The following is a 23682-nucleotide window of genomic DNA, read 5'->3' as shown; positions in this document are numbered from 1 at the left end:
TGAACCCAGGAGGCGGAGCTTGCAGTGAGCCGAGATCAGGCCACTGCACTCCAGCCTGAGCGACAGAGCGAGACTCTGTCTCGCAAAAAAAAAAAAAAAAAAAATACAACCAGACCTATTTATGGATCATCTATGGCTGCTTTTGAGAAACATGGGTGGAATTAAATAGTTGTCAGAAAGACAGTATAACCCACAAAGCTTAAAATATTTACTAACTTGGTTGGTGCTTTACAGAAAAATCTTGCTGAACCCTTTCCTAAATGATACAAAGTCAAAATAGCAAAAACTTCTTAGTATTAAAACAAGTTAAGCATCGTCTGGTTAACTGGACAATACATTGGTGCTACAAATATTGGTTTATAAAGTTTCCTTATCCAGATTCCCATGTGTTTTCCTTTTATGTTTCCTTCTCAGGAAAGGGCTTTATCCCATTAGAAATAACTGGGAGTTAATATTTGTAGTGGAGAAAATCGCCTAGTCAGAGCATTCAAAAGCATGGCTTCCTATACACATTGGGCATAGTGGTAGGTGGGCAAAATATTGGTCAGGTGAGCCTTTAAAAAAAAACAGCTGTTTATGTTGTGAAACTCTATTGGTGAACCCTGGAAGAAAACTGGAAGCCAGTGGAGGGCATCAAGGAGAGAAAGATGATGGAACAATAACCTGCCCCCACCTGGCATGATGGATGGAAAGTTAGCGGGGCCAGGGATAGCACCTGAAGTAGTTCAGGCAAAAGATGATGTGGGTGATGATGATGAGAACCTAGATTGTAGTCAAGGAAATAGAATAGCAGGCTCAACAGAATGACAACCATTGAAGAAGAAAAATCATCAAGATCAGCAAAGAGAGCTTTAAAAAGTGACCCTGGACTATCTAGACATAGAGATGAGGGCCTGATGGTTGTTAATTATATTTGGTTTTATACTGGACAGTTTTGAGATACTGTGAAATTAGTGGTACGTCACCTAAGATACAACCAAATCTTGGTAATATCCATCTGTAATTTTTAAAACTCCACTTCTCAATCCATAAATCCCCTTATGGCTTCTTTAGAATAAATCTCTATTCCTTTTTATTCTTCTTGAGATATGAGATTGCTACCTAAATATCACCGAATATCTAAGCTATATTGGGATAGGAATGAGAGGACATGCATAAACATAATGAGCACAATTAAATAAATGAATACACAAAAACCTACCTACACACTCACACAAGTGAAAGATATGAAGTGACAAAGAGACAGAGAGAGCGTGAAAGACTGACGAAAAGCAGGAAAGACAGAGAGTGAAAGTGAGAGACTCAGAGAGAAAGAAAGCAAGAGAGACTCACAGAACAAGAGAAAAAGGTGAGAGACAGAGCCAGACAGAGTCAGAGCTAGGGAGCAAGGGGAGAAAGGGCAGGCAAGAGCAAGAATATGAATGAACAAAACAGAAAAAAAGACAGAGTCAAACTGACATTATAGAAACCTAAACACAGTAAGACACACACAGAGACAGAGGGACTCACACTGTGAGAGGAACATAGAGAGACACTCACACACATTCATGTACCGATCCAAATATGAACCTGAATGAGACAATTCCTCAAGATAAATCCTGAGTGGCTAACTGGGCCTAAACATAAAATAGAGCCAATGAGCTGTTTTTTGACTAGAGGTCAGACACGTTCTCTGAGTTCTCAGAAAGCTCACACACATCTGCTTAACTTTGAGTTTGAGGTTCTTTTTTTTTTTTTTTTTTTTTGAGACAGGGTCTCACTGTGTCACCCAGGCTGGAGTACAGTGGGGCAATCTCAGCTCACTGCAGCCTCAACCTCTCATGCTCAAGCAATCCTCCCACCTCACCTTCCCAAGTAGCTGAGACTACAGGCATGCACCACCACACCTAGCTAATTTTTTACTTTTGTAGAGATGAGGTCTCACTATGTTGCATAGGCTGGTCTTGAACCCCTGGGCTCAAGCAATCCTCCTGCCTCAGCCTCCCAAGTAACTGGGACTACAGACATGTGTCACCACGCCTACCTAATTTTTTACTTTTGTAGAGACAGGGCCTCACTATATTGCCCAGGCTGGTCTTGAACTCCTGAGCTCAAGTGATCCTCCCACCTTAAACTCCCAAAGTGCTGGGATTATCGGCATGAGCTACTGCACTGGCCTACTGCTAAGGCTTTCATAGCTGACTCTTCTTGTTCATTTTTCCTGAACCAACCAATAAGCTGTGGCTTGAATTGATCAAGCAGAACTCAGCTACATCAACCAATCAAAACTCAGCAAGTTTGAGTCTTTCATTTGCATAAATGGACCTGATTGGAAACCTGAGCAGGAACTGTTGCTATAAACACTCAACCTTCCCTTTGTTCTCTGGAATGTACCTAAGTTTCACAGCAAAGGCTGTATCTTACAGTTTGCAAACAGTTCACGGGAATAAAGTTGCTTTCTTTCAAATTCCTTTTCACAGAACTTTGATTTTAAAACTTAGACAAATTCACAGAGACAGAGAGAAACCCACACTGTAAGAGAGAAAAATGCAGAGACAGAGATGTATGCACACAGATTCTCTCTTGCTCTCTCTCTCTCTCGTGCACAGGCACACGCACACACACAGATCAAAAAAGAAAGACACAAACTAGACATACAGAGGCATATAAAAAGAAAGACACAGTGAGAGAGACACACATGCCAAAGCACACAAATAAGAAGACTCGGGTGCACATAGAAATAAAGGCACTGAGACCCACAGATACACTCAAAAACCAAAGTAGAGAAACAGCAAGAAAGAGGACAAATACAGAGAATGCAGGACAGCAGCAAAACCCATGTGGGCTGCCAGGTCAGGCGAAACAAAGAGAGAACATGCTTGAGCCCCCATATCAAAGTATTGTATTGTCTCATGTTAATCACCACAATAACCCTATAAAAGAAGAAGAATTATTCTCATTTTGCATATGGAGAAATGAAGTTCAGATCCAAGTTCACATAAGATACAGAGATAATTTGAACTCATTAAAATGTAAGCTCTATAAAGGCAGGGATTGTTGTCTGCTCTGTCCTCTGCTGTACCTCATTACCTAGAGCATGGCCTGCAATAGGACCTGGTGCATAAGAAGTGTTCACAACACATTTATGGAAGGAAGGAACGAAGGAACGAAGGAAGAAAGGAAGGGAGGGAGTGAGGGAGGGTGGGAGAGAGGGAGGGAACCAGGGAACGAGAGAGGGAAGGAACGAGAGAGGGAAGGAACAAGAGAGGGAAGGAACAAGAGAGGGAACAATGGAGGGAGTGGGGAGGAAACCAGCTTTACAAAGCCTCAAAAGCCCATGCTCTATTTACCGATCCTGTTCCCATGGTTTCAGTAATAGGAAGTCATCAAAACATGAGTTTCTAATTCAGTGGTTTTGTTCTTTACTCAATGAAGCTGAAAAAGTACTGGAATATTTCAGTTTTATTTGTCAGATGCTTATATGTTTGCATACACACATTGAGTAAGCCACATTCAAACATGTAGAAAATGCTCATTTCATCGTTAACTACTTAAAATTCCTTTTAAAATTTAAGAGAACTTGCTTAGTGGCCCAGAGCTTTTAATACAGACATCCCAAGGTCTTGGATTTCAATAGATATTTCCCTCTAGCTTTCAGGACCATTCATCAAATTGATGTGATGATACCAATAAAGTAGTCACATCAACTTGAACCAAAACTCTGGTTTCTTCAAAAGGTTATTTGAGAGATGTTTTCCCAGCAGTGTCTGCTGAGCTGCTGCACAGTAAGTTGAACTGTAGGTACCTCCTACAAGGTCAAGAATTTATTTATTCATTTCCCGAAATACTCAGGCCTCTAACAATGCCTTTCTAAAAACAAAGCCTCTTTCTTCCAAAACATGTGGTTATTCCTACTTAGAGAATCTCTAACATACTCAGGCTGAATAACCTCTTTATATGCCTAAGAAAAGTGAACCTCTCAAGCTCTGTTTAAATACAGGTAATTTTATATCAACCTTAATTTTTCATGAAACAAAAGAATGTTTGTTGATAGGTGGAGAGACACAAAAGAAACAAATTCATCATGAAAACAAAGAAGCAAATCATTTCTGCCTTCAGCTTTAGATAACTAACCATTTAATGCATAAAAGCATGATCTAACTCCTAAAAGATCACCTAAAATATAAACATATGTTAGGGATTATAAGACTTCTTTTTCCTAAAACCTGCTCACAATTATATATATACATGTGTCACACCAACACACCTTATGTAATAATAAGAAAGATAAAACATTCCAACAGTTTGCTTTCTTCACAGACACTCCAATATTATACACTGAAACAATATAGACACCAAGTCAAATGGCTATTGCAGAGCCAGTAAGAAGTAACACTAAATGCGAACAGGATGTCGGAGAACTGGGGCAGAAAAATAGGCATAAACTGGGGCAGAAGAACAGATTTTCTTTTACTGAAGCAGGAAAGGAGTGGTGTGGGGAGAGAGTATGCACTTCTTTTAAGAAAGGATTTGGTAGTATTTAAAATGAGTGGCCTACAAGGTCAAGACAGCACAGGTTCCAGCTGCCCCTGAAAATCTTTTCAATGTTGCCTTTAACTCAAGCCTGAGTTTGGGTGGGCCGTGGTTTCAGAGATGACAGCCATCAGTTTAACAAAGATTTTAAGGCACAAAAGATAGTTTGAAAAGACTTCTGTGATTTCAAGTGTTACAGCACAAAGTCGGCTTACTTCAAACTCATTTTCCAGACATAATAGTACAGGGATAGGAACTGCTACTTACAGACTACTTACTCTGAATAGCTGCTTTCTATCCTGCAGCACGTGGGAGAACAGTGGAGGGAAAGCAAATGCCTCAGACCCAGAACATTCAAAGGCACCTTGTAGAGAAAGACTAGCTCCAACGGTCTGCAAGACTTGGCTCTAACTTGAATAACTGTGTTAAATCACCTAAGAAAAGGATGCGTAGATGTGAAGGGAGGTTGATTTTTCCTAGAAACTCAGAAAAACTGTCACCTGAGCTACAACTACTAGCGCTCATTAATGAAACGTTCCAAAAAGTGCAGGGTCCCATTAGCAAGGTCATTTCTGCAGTGACCTGAATGCATCAGAGTCCCAACTCCCTGCCTGCAACGATAGAAACTTTGATTTATCCAAATTCCCTTGTTGGACTTTGTCCCCTCCAGAAACACCAACGTTCTGTAGAATTTAGCTTTCCTTGCAGGTCTGAGACTAGGGAAAGATTATGTTGGTCATGAGCACACAAGTATCCCAGCAACTGGACTTGTTCTATTTGCTACTCTCTTTTGTTTAAATATTAACAAATTTTGTTGAGGATCTACTATGTGTCAGGCACCATTCTAGGCACTAAGGATATAATAATACATAATGGAACTTATGCAATAGTGGAGGGAAGAAGATTAAGAGAGATAAAGAAAGAGGTTATATATAAAATATGTAATGGAATTATAAGCTCTAGGAAGAAACATAAAGCAGTGAAAGAAGACACTTTCATGAAGAAGACAGACCTCATAATCCAGTGTCCATCTCCATTCTTCATGCGTGACTGCTCACAGCTTTCACACCGCACCACTATCCTTTCCTCTTCAGCAAGCTGATGAGAATGCCCAGTGCTCTTTCTTTGGGCACCAGCTGTATGTTCAGATCAACATATACAGGCCTAAATGCCCAGGAACTTTCACCCTAGTGATGCTCCTTTATCAAATAAAAGTTGAACCAGTCTTTTCCCCTGCTCTCCAGCCATTTTTGGACATGCTTGGAACTCTTTGCTTCTCTCCTCAGAAGGGTCTGTCAGTAGTTAACCTTTTTGTATTCTCTTGATGCATGTATAACATCAGTCTACCCAAACTTTGGGTAGGGAGCCCATCAAGTTGGTAGTGTGAACACAACAGACATTAGTGGAGCTTGAGGTCAGAGAAGCCCACTCTGAGGAGGTATTTGATGGGTTAGGGAGTGAGCTATACAATATCCAGGGGGGGAACAGTCCAAGGGAGGAAAGTCCTGGTGTACTGAAGGAAAGGCAAGGAGGCAGATAGGCTGGAGTAAACAAGGAATAAACTAGCGGGGTGTAAAAAGTTGGACTTTGGCTATTTTTGAGGTAAGATGTCAGATTTCTAAGTGGACATGTCAGGTAGGAATCTAGATATAAAAAACTAGAAATCAAGGGAGAAGACAGGATTGGAGACACCAATTTGAGAGTTAAGTTGTAGACGGTATTTGCAACCAGGAGCCTATCCATGGAGTGACAATATAGCGTAAAGAGTAAAGGTTTGAGAGTGAGTCAGGGGCATGCCAACATTTAGTCAAGAAGATCAGGGAAGGTCCAGCAATGAAGAGACTTTGAAGCCATAAACTGGCATTCTTGAGCCTGGTTTATATGAGTCCAACCTAAAGACATGTACTGATAAATTGAGTTCTGGTCCTGGAAGGCTGAAGACTACATCTTCAGTTTTGGCATATTCAATATGATAATAAAAAAATCTTGTGAAGCTTCTTCCAGAGAGCACCCCGTGTTCTAGTCAACCTGTTTCTACTTGAGTTAACTCATTAATCATCCTATCACCTCTGGATATAATTGTTATTACATTCATTATATAGATGAAAGAACAAGAACTAGCCCAAGATCACAAAGCTCATAAGACATGGTTGTTGGTTAGGCTTAAATTTCAGGCTCCCCAACTCCAAGGGGCAAATAAATTAATTCAATGAATTGCCCTATGTCACATGGTAAATTAATAGAAAAGTTGTCATTAAATCCTTGATCTTAATTCATTGTGTTTTACCCCCGCTGGGAATAAAAATGATGTGATCATGGAGAATTCTAATAGTTTATCATTTGTTGAATATTCTTGTATTTCCTGATAAGCCCTCACTGCAGAACAAAGATTAACCATTTCTGACCTTCACTTTATGTGTTCATAGCAAGGAAGTTCAGGAATAGAAAATTTAAGGAATAGTCAATGTGAAAAATAGCAAATGAATACTCAAAGAAATAATCCTGGACATAAGTTTTTAAATGTTAAATTAATATCAAATGTGGGAAAATCTTACTAACACACCACATCTACAATAAGAATACATAATCTAAGAGGAGATATGCATAATATTTTTAGGGTTTCTGGTTTTTTATTTTTAGTCTTTTTGTGACAAGCCACTATAAAATTGTTAATATTTTATTATTAAAGTTTTATTTTAAAATGATCATGATCTATTTATATGGAATTTTACAATCAGTATTATGTAATTTTTATTAGTCAAAGACCAATTAGTTTTCAATACCTACAAAATTACTCTAATTTTATAAATACATTCTACAAAATTACTCTAATTTTATAAATACATTCTACAAAATTACTCTAATTTTATAAATACATTCATGTAAAATATTACTTTTTTTATTTTGAAACAAGGTCTTGCTCTGTCACCCAAGCTGTTGGAGGGCAGTGGTGAAATCATAGCTCACTGCAGCTTCAAACTCCTGGGTGCAAATGATCCTGCCACCTCAGCCTCCCCCATAGCATGGACTACTAATGGCATACATCACCACCCCTGGCTAATTTTTTTTTTTTTTTTTTTTTTGTAGAGATGGGACTGTCACTATGTTGCCTAAATTGATCTCAAATTTCTGGCCTCAAGCAATCCTCGTGCCTTGGTTTCCCAAAGTGCTGGGATTACAGGCATGAGTCACTGCATTCAACCTACATTTTGTTTAAAATCCTTCCATTTGTATTCGGCTTCCTTGTTTACAGTTTTTCACATATATCTCATAACTGGATTATGAGAATCAAGGGCCAATTAGAAGAAGTAGGTATTGTTACTTATTTTATATAAAGAGAAGAATTATGGCTTAAAGAAGTGAGCAACTGAAAGTCAAACAACAGGAGCTTGAAATTAAGCCTATGTCATTAGATTCCGTAGCCAATGCACTATCAGATGGTTTCCTACATAAAGCTAAATTTCTTGGGAAATTTTACAAAGACGGGATATATGTATCCTCAATGGAATTAGCATAAATGGCATAAAGGACAGATAGAAAAAGATGTGTATATTTTACATGCACTGCTACCTATGAAATGTGAATCATTAACTATTAAAATTAGCACTTATAAAAAGCCTTTAATATATACACATAGTTCTAAAACACTCCAAAATATTCACAAATTCCTGTGTAATTCCACTAGCATTCAGGCTGCTAACAGCTATTTATGTTAGCCCCTTGTATTTCTACATTTACAGTTTCTAAGCTGAAAAGAGTTTCTGGCAGCTTACCAACTTCTCTAAATGCTTTTATATCTATTATAACAATGTAAACATATCTTTGACTTATTTAAGGAAAACTGGGTTTTGAAAGAGAGATTACTTTCTCAACCATATAATATGCTTCAAATATTTGAGGAATACAAATAATAAAAAATATATAAATGTCTTTAACTAGATCTTACAGGCAAAATCAATTGTTTTGAAAGCTACAGAGAATTGTAATGAAACTATATCAGAATATCTTGATAACAATTAAAGTTTACATTAATTTTAAAATGCTATTTTTAAAAAGTTACTAAAATGTGGTGGGAAAAGTTTTCCAAAACTATGTACTTTGATTGATTACATCTTTTAAAGGACATGAAAAGGAGAAAACATGATAAAACACTTGAAGTTATGTAGAAACTAAGAACATGAAAATGTGATGAGAGAATATTTTTAATATGCCCATTTTCAATAAAGAAAAAAGAATAAATAGAATGCACTTAACCAGGTACAAAGTAAAGCCAAGATTTTAGCTTATGACCGTCTTTGGTCCCATTCAAAAAGTAACTGGCGAAACAAATGAACAAACAAACAAGTTCAAGATACGAAGATCAAGATAGCATCATTCGATCTCTCCTTATTGGAATTTTATTCTCTGGCACTACTGAATCTTCTTCATTTCCATATCATATCTAGATATGACAAAGAAAACTCTTGAAAGGAATGATACATTCTTTTGGAGAAAAGAAAGCAGGTTTCCTTTCTAATTGAACTCTTAAACACTCTCACACTGCCATAAATCACTTCTTGTGTTCCAAAATTTTCATCTTGTCAGCCTCAGAAAAACAAAACAAAATAATAAAAAAAAACCTGTAAACTCTTAGGGGCTCACTGCAGGATTGTCTAAGCATTACTAATGAAAAATTTAACACAATTTGTAAAGTTTAAAAATGAATAAAAATACTTAATGAATACACTGATACTTTAAAACACCTCTCTTTTTATAATGGGAGTCAAGTGTAAGACATTTTGTCAAATTTCAATATTCTTTACCAAAAGTATTCAGAATCATAAGGATGTTTTCTGGCTCCCAGGGAATTTCTTAGCTTTTAAGAAAACAAAATAAGGAAAGGGGATATAATTTTTAGAAAATGCATTCCTAATAAGTATAGACTATGCCTTGAGAATGTCAAAATGTGGGTGTTCTACATTGACATATATAGACAAATTATATAGCCTAAATGTCAAACTACAAATAGTAGCTTGAAAAATAAGCATCATACATGTATCACACTATAGGTCCTTGCTTTGTTAATTAGGTCCTGTCTTTTGTACTATTCGAGCTTCAGATTCCTACATCCAATTGCCTATTTAGCTTATTCATCTGGATGCCTAATATATCAAACTTAACAGATCAAAAAAATTAATTTTAATTCCTCGAATCTCAGTTTTCTTCATCTCAGCAAATAGTTCATAATTTGCCTACATGTTTGAACCAAAAACCTGGGACTTATCCTTGATTCTACCCATTCCTTCACTTCCTATCCTTGATCTAACAAGTCTTGTTAGCTTTCCTTCAAGATAGATCCCAAAGTGGTCTAATTTTTTCCAGTTTTTCCTTCATCTTTTTTCAACTACTCTGATGGGAATAAAATCCAAGTTTCTCCTCCAAGATTACAAAGATTCAAGCCCTACAAGATCTAGTCAATGGATGGCCCAGCATACCCTCCTTCTCTTCAAACATTCAGGTGGTGTTTTCTGTGGGGCTCTTCCTTTTGAGTTTCTTCTGTCATGACGGCAACCTCCCAGCTTTTCTGTGCCTGGATCCCACTTGTCATATCAGGTCCTCGGCTCATAGATTACTATTTCTGTGAAGCCATCCCTGACCACCAAATCTAATTAGCAATGTCCTACTCCCACAGTCCATCATTCTCCATCACCGCACCCTGTTTTGTTTCTTCATAACCTTTGTCATTGTCTGTAATTACTTTTCATCTGTGTTTGCTGGGTTTATTTTCTCTCCCCCTCATCAAAGAGAGTATAAATTCTAAGAGAGAAGCAGTCTGATTTGTCCTGTGTGTCCTGTATATCTAATCCTACAATATTACTTGAATGAATGAATGAATGAGGAAATGAATATGTTACATATATGGTCTATCCCTAGATATATCCCTAGATATGGCTAACTGTTGACTGTGTTAGGTGGAATTGCTTATATAAGACAAACTCTGCAGCAAGACTCCCCTAGAGGATCACTGATGTCTAGAGTTCCAACATATTCCTCACCAATCAATATTAAAGACAACATTAGTATTAAGAAAATATAGAACTAGACCCAATCAGATTGTATGATGGTGCTTTAGTGACATAGAAAACTTGGAAGATTAAAAGTGAGGGAGAGCTGCTTTCCTAGTCTCAGGGGAAGAGAAGAACAACTTCATCTCACCATGACTAACAGGAGTCAGTCTCTTTTTCTGAAAACAATGCTGCTGCCAGCAGTTTTAAAGAAGTACATCTAACGTTTATGCCAAAAGAACTTTTGTAACTGGAGTTTTGAAAAAGAGAAGCAGTGGGGAATAGGGTGCATGTTTGAGAGATGGGAAAGGATAAATGCTTCTGGCCATAGAAAGCCAACCCTAGGGAGTCTTTGTGCAACTACACATAAACATTCAACTCACATTCTGACTTCTGCCTGCAGGTAAATTTCCTTTGGAATATGCTACTTACCCTGAGATTGTCAACAAATCTGAATCTATTTTAAAACCACATGGTTTTGCTTTCTTTTAAATAACTGTCTGTGGGGCTTCAAACCATGGCTTATGAGACATTCAATTTTAATTCTTTGAAGGTAAGGACCTGGACCATGTCACGTGTTCATTCTCTGGCTCTACCTGAATCCACTGATGTACTGGCTGGGCAGCAGAAACTGCCCCTTCATTTCAAGGGAATGTCATTGAAAGGAATATTGGACAGCAAAAATGTAAGATCTCCTTGAAGGGAAAAGATGTCATAACAGAATGACTTTCTCCTTTTCCTAATTTGTAATGCCAAGAACAGCTTGTACTCATTTTGTGTGAGTTCAACAAAGGGTATTAGGTAGTACAATGCTTCTCTGCTTAAAAAAAAATTATTAAGTTTCCCTTTGGGTAAAGCTGTATTTATTTCCTTCTTTCCTCCTCAGTTTGCATTCAGGTAAGCATTTGCAGATTATTTGATAAACATCATTTTTTCTTTGAAGAGATTTAGTTAAAAATTAAAATTAAAAATTAAATTAATTTTTTTTTTGAGACAGAGTCTTGCTCTGTCACCCAGGCTGGAGTGCAGTGGCACAATCTCGGCTCACACAACCTCCACCTCACGGGGTTAAGCAATTCTCCTGCCTCAGCCTCCCGAGTAGCTGGGATTACAGGTGCTCGCCACCACGCCCGGCTAATTTTTGTATTTTTAGTACAGATCGTTTCCCCATGTTGTATTTTTGTATTTTACAAAAACATAATTTTGTATTTTTAGTAGAGATGGTTTCCCCATATTGATCAGGCTGACCTCAAACTCCTGACCTCAAGTGATCTGCCCACCTTGGCCTCCCAAAGTGCTGGGATTACAGGCGTGAACCACCATGCCCACCCCTAAAAATTAAATTAATTAAAAAGCAATCAGGCATTCTGTTTTCAATTCTCAGTTCTCTCAAATTCTCCGAAGCTATAATATTTCCTCCAAATCAGTGCAATACAGATTCAGAGAGTTAAAAAGAATATTTCATTTCTTTAAAAAATTTAAAGAAAAACACTGAGAAAAGATTTGTAATCAATATGAAAAACTATTAATACCTTTATTATATGAAGTGGGAGTTCAACTGGATAAGGTAAAACATTATGTACCAGACAAATAAATGAGTACAAGACACAAAAGAGACATTTTTAAAGGGAAATACAGCTGGAAAACTGTCCCACCTTGCCAGTAATCTTAACAGAGCACATTAATATATGTTTGTTTCTAGTCTATAAAATTATAAACAAAAGTAAATAATCGAATTTACTTTTTCTAATTAAAAACCACTGAGGCATCCTTTGTTCAAACAAAGCATTATTGAGGAGCTCAGGAAATTGGGTTTAATTCATGATATTTGAAAGGGTGGGCCTTGGAAATTGGCCTGCTTTTACTCTTACTCACCATGTTTCAAGGACTTTTGAGGGAGCTTAAAAGAGCTTCTAATTTTCCAAGAAGCACAACTGGAAAACCACTATTTTTAATAACACCCAGTACTGACAGACACTGTGCAACAGGCATACTCCTACAATGTGCATGAGCTTCTAAATCACTTCAACCATGTTGAACAGCAATTTAGAAATATTTTCTATAAATCGCAAAAGTATCCACATACTTTGGCTATTTACATTCACTTCTGAAAACCTACATTAGCTCAATTGCATGAAGATACTAAATGCAGCATTAAGTTGGTAAATTTTAGAAATAAGTAAATTCATGTATTCAACCATTCAATAAATATTTACTGAGCAATGACATTACACAAACTGATGTCACTATTAAAGGATGAGAGGAAACAGGAATGGTGGAGCACATGGTTTAGAAAGCAGATGAGCTTCACTAGGTAGCACCTACTGTGTTCTGTACTAAAGTCATGAAATCTCAACTGAAGGTGACCTTAATCTTACTGGAGGGCATTAATTCCCTAAATTAACCTAGTCCAGATATCACATTACCAAAAAGTACAATGAAAACTAGAAGATAAAATATGTGAGGTTGTGGCATTCTAAGTGTATTATTGGGGTTCTTTAGATTAAGACTACCTCCCTTACCTGAGGCAAGGTCTCCTTGAAGAGAAAAATATTTAAAAAATGTAAAACATTTATCTGGAACTCTTTGTCTTGGCTATGAATCTGTGGAATCTATAGTTATTTGAAGCACTCCAGGCAAAAAATGAGTAAGGATGGCTTCTGCCACAGGGAGGTGGGTCAGAAGCTCGACTGGAGGTTTCTCCTTGGTGAACTCCAAGCTCAAAATGAAAAAGTCTTATTTAAATGCCTCCAGCCTAGTGTCAGCTGTGCTCTGGGTAATTAATTGAAAAATTACATGGCCAGATTTTAGCCAAAGAGAAGAGAAGATATCCCAGCACACCATTCATGCCTTAAGCAGATGTGATGATGGCAGAGGTGATAAGTGAGAGATCCTCTAGTCAAGGAAAGGTGGGTCTCAAAGGCCAAGGTTCTGTTGCCCCACCCCACGTAGGGCAATATCCTACTCTATTGAGAGATCCTCTAGTCAAGGAAAGGTGGGTCTCAAAGGCCAAGGTTCTGTTGCCCCACCCCACGTAGGGCAATATCCTACTCTATTGTCATTCTTGAAGGGGCTGATGTGGATCTGATGTTTAAAATAATCAGATAATAAAAGATAAATAATTTATAATAATAAAATAATATAAAGAATTAAATAAATTTGATTAAAGAAAGTAACTTCTTTATAGTCTCAAGAATGTTTAGAAAATCATAAAGTTAAAGAAGAAGCATTTGGAGAGATAAACGAAAGCAGGAAAAAGAAAATAACTTCTGAGGGCAAAAAAACAAATGAACCAATAAAGATAAACTTCAGGCTATTGCAACTGTCTCTGCTTATCTGTTTTTCAGATGGTGGCAGTTGATCAAACGAATGTGGAAATGACTTCTTCAGTTAAGGAGACAAGTGCAAATCAAAGCAATGTGGGTTTTTTTTTTTAATTTAAAGTAAAACAAAAAGATATCCTAATATAATCACTTATTCAAAAGAAAAAATAGAAAATAAATTATAATCAGTGTCAGTGGTCAGTAGTTATTTTTTTAAAGAACAGCATTTTAAAAGATTATTTTAACCTTAGAATAATTGCTTTCTGTAAACATAGCATGAATCTAATTTCATAATCTGATGCGTGTTATGTTTATAGAAATTTTAATTTTAGTCTAAACACAGTCTTTGGGTCAGTCCTATCCTGCTACAGTACAAAGCACATTAGTACATTCTTGGATAGCTCTCTGTTTATTTTCTTTCACTTGTCTTATTTTATCTTGGGGTATTGCACGCATCTTTGTAAGTCAGCTAAATTATGTTCTGAAAGAAGGTGAGAGACAGGACTAGCTGGATTTCCTAGGCCGACTAAGAATTCCTAAGCCTAGCTGGGGAAGGTGACTGCACCTACCTTTAAACATGGGGCTTGTAACTCAGCTCACACCCGGCCAATCAGGTCATAAAGAGAGCTCACTAAAATACCAATTAGGCTAAAAGCAGGAGGTAAAGAAATAGTCAATCATCTATCACCTGAGAGCACAGGGGGAGGGACAAAGATCCAGATATAAACCCAGGCATTTGAGCCGGCAGTGGCAACCTGCTTTGGGTCGCCTCCCGTTGTATGAGAGTTCTGTTTTCACTCTATTAAATCTTGCAACTGCATACTCTTCTGGTCTGTGTTTATTCTGGCTCAAGCTGAGCTTTTGCTCACCGTCCACCACTGCTGATCTCCGCCATCGCAGACCCGCTGCTGACTTCCACCCCTCCAGATCCAGCAGGGTGTCTGCTCTGCTTCTGATCCAGCAAGGTGCCCATTGCCGCTCCCAATCGGGCTAGAGGCTCGCCATTGTTCCTGAATGGCTAAGTGCCCAGGTTCGTCCTAATCCAGCTGAACACTAGTCGCTGGGTTCCACGGTTCTCTTCCATGACCCATGGCTTCTAATAGAGCTATAACACTCACCGCATGGCCCAAGGTTCCATTCCTTGGAATCCGTGAGGCCAAGAACCCCAGATCAGAGAACACAAGGCTTGCCACCATCTTGGGAGCTGCCCGCCACCATCTAGGTAGCACCTGCCACTATCTTGGAAGCTCTAAGAACAAAGACCCGCCAGTAACAAAGGTAGAGTATAAACAAAGAAATAAAAATAACCTTTTCTATCTCAATACTTATTCTTTCTGACATATTTTTTTCTGATAATGATTACGCCTACCTTAGATTGTTTGCAAAGGTAGCGACAAAGTTCTCCAATATACTGAAACACAGTCACATCATACTTCTTGCAGTCACTCCAAAACTGGCTTGCTGAAAATTTCTTCTTTAACACACAAGTGGCACCTATAAGAAAAGACAAAAACAGGCACTAGGGAAAAAAATTCAAAGGCAGAATGAACATAAAACATGAATGATGTTTCTCTGTCTAGAACATGTTTGCTCATTTTAAAACTTTAATAACTCATCATCAATAATTTATATCAAACTCATTTGGAAACACTAATTTTTACCGTCCAAAAACTCTGTTAAAATATTGTAATTCTAAATTTTGACTGAAAATATGCTTTTTGCAATACACAGGAGAAAAGCAACAGTCAAAATAAGTAAAAGAGTTAAAGTATTAGAGCATGGCTATTGATAAGAGTCATCCTTCTTCATAGAAGCCAAGAATATTCACTTACTTGTGAACTGGAATATATACATATTATTCATTTTTAAACCTTAAAGCAGCCTCAACATATCTTTTTTTTTTTTTTTTTGAGACGGAGTCTCACCCTGTCATCCAGGCTGGAGTGCAGTGGCACGAACTCGGCTCACTGCAAGCTCTGCCTCCCAGGTTCATACTATTCTCCTGCCTCAGCCTCCCGAGTAGCTGGGACTACAGGTGCCTGCCACCACACCTGGCTAATTTTTTGTATTTTTAGTAGAGACAGGGTTTCACCGTGTTAGCCAGGATGGTCTCAATCTCCTGACCTCGTGATCCACCTGCCTCAGCCTCCCAAAGTGCTGGGATTACAGGCATGAGCCACTGCGCCCGGCCACCTCAACATATCTTGAGGTCAACTGTTAGTAAGGTTGAATTAGCAAGATAGTACTAACAAAAAAGTTCTTAAATGACTGCAGAACCTAATTTTGACAACAATGTATGTCCACTGAAGATTTTAATGTCTTTTAATATCTCATCTTCATTTATGGTGGATATTGATCATATTCTAAATATTCTATTCTAAAAATTACAGCATTTTAGACAAATACAAGTAGCAAATGATCTCCACTGTTTGTATATTATGTGAGGTCTAGAAACTGACACATAATCTTGCATGTTTATGAATGGAATCTACTGAGTCACAAGCTCTACCAACTAATTTATTGAGTGTCTATGGCAGACTGTTCGCAAAGATGGCCTCAGCAATTTCTTCAGGGCTCTTACTTTTGCAGTGTAAATTTGCTCCTTCTCCCTTCAAGAGGTGGCTTCTGTTTCTCCAGCCCTGGAATCTTGAATCTAGGCTGGCCCATGACTTACTTTGATCAATGGAATGAAGGTAAAATAACCTATGTGTCTTTCAAGACTAGGCCTTAAGATTTATGCAGCTTCCATACTCACTCCCTTGGAACATTTCTACTACATTTGAGGAATCTGGGGTAGTTTGTTTGAGGGTGAGTGACTACAAGGAGAGAGAAGCCCAGCCAATAGCCAGCTCCGACCACATGGCCAAATCCTCAGAAAACTGTTCTTTTCACCTCAGGAAAACACTGAATATGCCATAAAATTGTGTAGTTTTTTTAAAATAAATATTGTGTTATAATAAAATAATATGCATATAATCACTCTAAATTCTACCGATACAGCTTCAAATGTTAATAAATACTTGTTCTAATTATTAGACATTTTGAAAACTTATCAAAAAGAAAATAAAGCCTTACCCAACTCAACACATCCAGAAATTCCCAGGATAGCTGCTGAACTATGATACAGAGGAAGGGTTATATAAACAATGTCATGAGCAGTACAACCAAAAGCCCACAGGACAGCAGAACCCCTTAAAACCTGCAGCTGACTAATCACAGCTGCTTTTGGTAGACCTGGAAGAAAAGAAAAGAACAGGAAATATATATACACACATACATACATATACATATGCATACATATTCATATAACTAGAAAGGAAGTAACAGAAAGAAGATGATACTGATAACAACTACACTAGCAATTGACAGAAAATATATCAAAGTAGTCTATCTGCTTTGTAAAAGAGGCCATTCTGACTTTAGCAACGCTCCTTTGACAGGCTGCTAAGTAGGCCTGTATCTCAAACGCTATGTAATTTTATCGTTGGCCTTTCTGGATAGATCTAAGATTCTAGAAATTAATTACAGTGGTAGCACACATTTGGTTTCAGTAGCTATCTGATAAAGAGCATTTGGGAGGTAAGTTTTTGTCAGTCCTTATGTGCCTGAAAATGTCTTTTTTTGCCACCTATACACTTGAATGGCTGCTTGTAAAGAATTCTAGGTAAGTAGTCATTTTTACGCAGGACTTTGAAGGCATTGCTCTATAATCTTCTGACTTCCAGTATATATATTGAGCAATTATCAGTCTTTCTGATTTCTTATCCTTTGGATGCAACATGGTATTTCTATTTTTTTTCATTTTTGGAATCTTCTATTTGTTTTCAGTAGTCTGTAATATCATGATGACTTTTACTGGGACCAGTCTCATCTATCCATTTCGCTGGGAAATTTTTAGGCTTTTTCAGTCTAACAACTCAGGTCTTATAGTTCTAGATATTTTTGAATTTGAAAACAAAATAATTTTCACACCCCATTCTTCTCTTTCCTTCCTTATTTCTGTTCTTTTTGCCCATTGCTTTTTTCTGTTACATTTATTTGTGTGTTCATCCTTTCATTTTTAGAACTCTTGATTTTCTGAAGATCAGCCCTCCTGGACAGAATCACTGGTTTCCTAATGTTGCCTATCCTGTTTTCCTTCTCTTACCTTTTGCTTTACTTTTTGAGAGATTTTCCAACAATTATGTTCTCTGAATATTCCTCTTTTTGTAGTATGTTATTTTTATATTATTGACACTTTTTTGTCCCCATCTTTCAGAATATTAACAATAATAATTTTTTGAAAATTTCTCCTCTCTATCTTGTCAGTTTTCTCCAACATCCTTTTTATCTTTCGTTTGTATTGGTCTCAATCTAATCTAGAATATATTCAGGAGGATTTTTTTCAAATATCTGGAGACTACTGACTATCAGTTTATATTTAAAAGTGCAGACACAAAAACACAAAATAAACAAACAAAATATTAACTAGAATCTCTGTGTCTGAAGAATACTTATTTACTAGTTGGTTTCACTGTCCAGGACATTCTGTTGGGGGAATCCATCATGATCAGTGTCTTTCAATTTTTACATGTGGGCTATTCAGATTCCTCAGACAAGAATCTCAAAGATTAAAACAGTCAAGTATTAAAAGAAGTTATATATATTAAAGAGAACATATACATATATGTATATCTATCTATATACATATATACATATTTATAGGGAGGGAGACTTTCTTTTATATCCCCTACTTTTTAAACCTCTGTTCTTCCTGGTATTTTCAGAAGTTCATCTTTTCCAGAATTACGTCTCAGGACTTCTATCAGGGTGGAAGAAGCAATCCAGGACTATAGTTCCTTCTTAAACAAACTTCCCATAAAGTTTCCTGCTTATAGTTTCACATTTATTTTCTACTCTTTGAGGTACCTGGTACCCAATTTCTGAGCCTTTCTGGGGTTTGGTGGGGGCAAATGAATTTTCTTCAAGGCTTCACCATAAGCTTCAGCTTCTTGGGTCTGCGGTGTCTGCCACCACACTCAGTCATCACCTCCTTTTCTAAAATTTTGTAGCTGTCATCTCTAGTTCCATTCCTTTTGTCCTAAGGGACTGTGTATCTGTTCAATCTGCCAACTTCTAGACCTGTTATTATTCAATAGACCTGATTAGGTAGCCTGAACAATCTGAGAAAGAAGCTCCCTCAGTCTGGACAGAGTAGCCACACACATATTAGCACTTTTCAGTTCATTTATCAAAACTGTTCTAATCATGTAAAAAAAAATTATATTCTCCAGTCTAAAAGGGATTACAATTAGGAACTGAATAGATTTTTAAAATGTAAGAAAAATTTTACTATGCAATAGTTGCTCACAACCTATGCACAAGAAATGAGTAACAATACTCTTAATATGTCTAAGTCAAATCAACAATCATTTTCAAACTAATAATGAAAGCCTATTTAGGCTACCATTAATACCATTCAGTTTTTCCTAGAAATCAATTAAGTTTAACATTTCTTTTGAATTCTCTTTCTTTTCTTTCTTAAGACTGAGTCTCACTCTGTTGCCCAGGCTGGAGTGCAGAGGTGCAATCAGCTCACTATAACCCCGAACTTCTGGGATAGAATGATTCAACTGCCTCAGCCTCCTGAGTAGCTGGTACTACAGGTGCATGCCACCACATCTGGCTATTTTTTTTAATTTTTTTGTACATATGAGGTCTCACTGTGTTGCCTAGGCTGGTCTCAAACACTTGGCCTCAAGTAATCCTCCTGCCTTGGCCTCCAAAGTGTGTGATTACAGGTGTGAGTAGTCACTGTGCCAGGCCCTTCTTTTGAATTCTCAGGCAGTTTTATTATTGTTATTGCTGTTGTTTACTTAAAATAAAGCTTATTTACTTGATTTTATTTTGTATCTTAGTCCAAACCTGCAGTGCCTTCAAGAGTTCCTGTTTGTCACATGATTCAATTACCCTGACCAAAATCAGGAGAGCCAGCAACAGGTGCTTAAATTGCCGGTATACCTGGATTATGTTTAGGATTTAATAATTTACACAGGAATATAGAGAACTGTTTTCAAGTACATTAAAACACTTTTTAAATCCAAAAGAATCAGTAGAAACTATTTAAACTAATTTCTTCATTTTAGATATCAGAAATTTGAGGATCAGAGAAGCTAACAAAGATCTTGCCCAAAAAATCAAGTATCAAGTATCATACACTGAGCAATGAGACTGGATCAAGGTGTTTGGATACTCCCATGCCCTTTGTACTACCAAACTTTAAGAAAATCTTGTCAAATGAGACAAATGCCAAATGAACACAATGACTTTTCAAGTAAAAGTTAAGATAATTAACTTTCCATCCAAGTTGGAAAGTTCTAGCCTCTGAGATCCTTACATCTTCTTGCAAGCATGCATTCTCAGATGGTTGGTCACTACACATGGTAGAAATTTGCCCAACACTGTTGCTTTGCAAATTTCTCGCATTCATTTTAGCCTTCAAAAGAATTGGATCATACCTGTTGTTCCAGAGGTAAAAATGTAAAGACAAGTAGACTTGAGGAGTGAGACAACATGGTGGCTGCGTGGCACGGGCTCATCAGGTGAGGTGCTCAGTTTTTCTTTGAGTGAAATTACACCTTGTGGAACAGAATCTTTCATCCCCCAAACACTGATATTTTCTGAGAGGCTTGGAAGGATTTCTTCTACCGTTCCAAGCAAATCTAAAAGCCAAAGGGTTGGGAAGAGTTAAGCAAACCTTAAATCTCAAACAATTCACTTTGGAGTTGCTTTTGTGTATTGAAACAGGGATAAAATGTAAATAAAATGCTGATTTCCTTCTTATGTTGGATAAGTAATATCACAGTCATTTTATGGTTCCGTTTCAACAGGACCAACTGAAAGGGAAATTTAGTTATCACCTGACAGACCAATGCAAGCAGTCCAATTCAGACTGAATTTAAGAGACTCCATTATTCAAATTATGGGTTTCCCTCCACCAATTTTTAAATAAAACTATTTAAAACTCTGTCTGAATCTAAATTCAGGATACTGCACTAAACATTTTCCTTGAAGTACAACTCAGTAGCTAGTTATTCCAAAAGCTGTCTGCAGGTTACTCTTCAGTTCCACTGTAATGCAAAACATTTGGGAGAATCCCCGACTGCTCTGAAATCACAAGATCATTGTGGTTTAGAAATCATTCCAAAGCCAGAAGTTAAGTGAGTGGGGACTCCAAAATGGGGGAGGGTGGGAGAGAGAGGTGAAGACTGAGAAATTACCTATTGGGTACAATGTTTACAATTCACAGTTTGGGTGATTGGCAATTTAAGGTTCAGAAAGAAAAAGGGACAAGTTTCTTAGGAAGGATCTGCTACAAGGATAACAAAGGAGCAACTGGTGAGGTGAGACTATGTTGAGTTAATCTGTGAAACTTAACCAGACCTTCCTGATTTGCCCAGTAACCCAGGAAAAAAATATCATCTGTTCAAGAGAGGAGTAGTGGTGAAAACAAGAGAGACAGAAGGTGGGACTGGGTCCTTGATGAGGAAATAATTAAGCACTGAGGTAACCAACACTCTGTGGGATACAAAAGAAACAATGTCATCATTCCTATACAGTCTTTTGTGTAAGCAAGTGAAGCATCATTTTTTTCTCCAGAGTAGACAGGCATACAATTATTTATATTATTTAAATTCTTTTTAAATTCACCACTCCCTTACTTTAGCATGGATCTCTGACATGAAGTTCAACTTTTATATTCTACATGGCAACTCTGATTTTACTTCCTTATTTCTATAATATGCTATACATTTAGAAGGTTCAAGGGATTTCTGAGTGCTATATAGGTTATCTTAAAATCTATATTAACGTCCTTGGGGATATTAAACAATAGTACCCCACTGGCCTTTTGGAGTTAATGCAAGGGAAGTCCAACATTACTGGCAACTACCAGAAGCTAAGAGACAAGAAAAAATTCTTGGATCCTTCTGAGGGAGCATGGCTCTGCTGACAGCTTTATTTTGGATGTCTAGCCCCCAGAACTGTGAGAAAATAAATTTCGCTTGTTTTAAGCCACCAAGTTTGTGGTACTTCATTATAGCAGCCTTAGGAAACTCATACATCAAGCTCACAAGTTGGTGGATGGTAGAATTAGTAATCTAACCATAGACTAACTCTAAAACTATAAAATTACCTCATAAAAGAAATAAATGGCAAAAAAGAAAAAATAATGGTGCTAAATGTAAAATAGATACAGATTGGCCAGGCCCGGTGGCTCATGCCTGTAATTCCAGCACTTTGGGAGGCCGAAGCAGGTGGATCACCTGAGGTCAGGAGTTCGAGACCAGCCTGGCCAACATGGTGAAACCCCATCTCTACTAAGAATACAAAAAAAATAGCCAGGTATGGTGATGGGTGCCTGTAATCCCATCTACTCAGGAGGCTGAGGCAGGAGAATCGCTTGAACCCAGGAGGCGGAGGTGGCAGTGAGCCGAGATCACGCCATTGTACTCCAGCCTGGGCAAGAAGAGCAAAACTCTGTCTCAAAAAAAAAAAAAAAAAAAACCCGGATCAGAATGCTCAAGTTCTGTACATGAAAATGTGGACCTTTACACCTAAAGCAATTATATTTTTTCTAATTTTTTCAGGAAAAATTTTAAAATAATCACAAGATATATTCTGCTTTGAGTTTGAATTCAGAGTTCTGCATTAAACATTTCCCTGGAAACATAAATCAGTATCTGGTTCCCTCAAAAGGCCAACTATCAGTCATTGGGTTAGTTCTACTACAATGAAATACATTGGGGGAAAACTCTTGATTTACTTTCATGAAATCTATAACCCAGATTGATCACAAAGCAGCAGCAAGATAAATATGTCAAGTGGGACTAAGCAGTTTATAAATAAAACCTGTATGAAAATAGAAGGCAACACAGAAATTATAATGAAGTTGATATGCGGTGGAAAGTGGGGTTCATAGCCTTAAGATGTCTTATTAATTTTTATTTCTATAACAAATCTAAGTAAAATATAAGAATCCAGGGAAAATGCCTAGCTCTACTTAACACACACACATCATGCTGCTGTATATAGATTGCTTTGGCAAAATGTGAAAAATCACCAAGGATGATAGGAGGAGTGACAAGTTAGAAACATGAAAAACTGGATAAGCAAAGGATCTAGACTTTCTTTTTAATGTTTGTTCCAGATTTTGTTGTAATGACTCTTTCTCAGGTTTTGAACTTGTAAGTGCAAATCTCTGAACTGACTCATTACTTTAATTTCAAAATCTCTCATCTAGAATAAGAAATTCCCAGCACAAACTTTTATATGTTCTTAATGATATGTATGTCTAAATTGGGGAAATAAGTGCCAAGAAAGTTAAAATATGAATAAGTGTGGCTCCAAATCTTTGTTGGAATTCTAGAGCCCAAAGAAACTGAGTATTTACCAAGAGTGATAATTTTTACAGCAAGAAAAAAGAAAGTGAGAAGGTTCCTAGGAATCAGAGGAGATACAATGTCACTTCTTTCATAAGTTAAAATTAATTTTATTTAGGTGAGATGCTTAGAATTCTCAAATAGAATTTAGTGTAACAAAATTATTTCTTCAATAGTGGTAGGAAATGTGGGTGAGGATAGAGAAAGTTAAAATAAAAGAGTCATGTAGGGGATAAAGAAGAGTCATGCAGGGGATAAAGAATCATTATCACTGCCAGTCTTTCTTAATAAAATGAATCTTGGCCAGGCGTGGTGGCTCATGCCTGTAATCCCAGCACCTTAGGAGGCTGAAGCAAGTGGATCACCTGAGGTCAGGAGTTAAAG

General features: G+C 37.3%; 1 protein-coding gene across 3 annotated transcripts in view; it reads right to left on the bottom strand.

Moving 5' to 3' along the window:
* Positions 1-23682, bottom strand: part of SLC27A6 (solute carrier family 27 member 6) — a 68148-nt gene that overhangs the window by 27923 nt on the left and 16543 nt on the right. For all 3 annotated transcript variants that reach the window (NM_001017372.3, NM_014031.5, NM_001317984.2), the window contains 3 exons: positions 20377-20580; positions 16955-17113; positions 15249-15373 (listed from right to left, as the gene is read on the bottom strand). In NM_001017372.3, the coding sequence (NP_001017372.1) occupies positions 15249-15373; positions 16955-17113; positions 20377-20580 (488 nt within the window). The remainder of the gene's footprint in view (positions 1-15248; positions 15374-16954; positions 17114-20376; positions 20581-23682) is intronic.

Source organism: Homo sapiens, chromosome 5, assembly GCF_000001405.40.
Source record: "Homo sapiens chromosome 5, GRCh38.p14 Primary Assembly".
NCBI lineage: Eukaryota > Metazoa > Chordata > Mammalia > Primates > Hominidae > Homo > Homo sapiens.
This window is presented reverse-complemented; position numbering and strand designations above follow the sequence as displayed.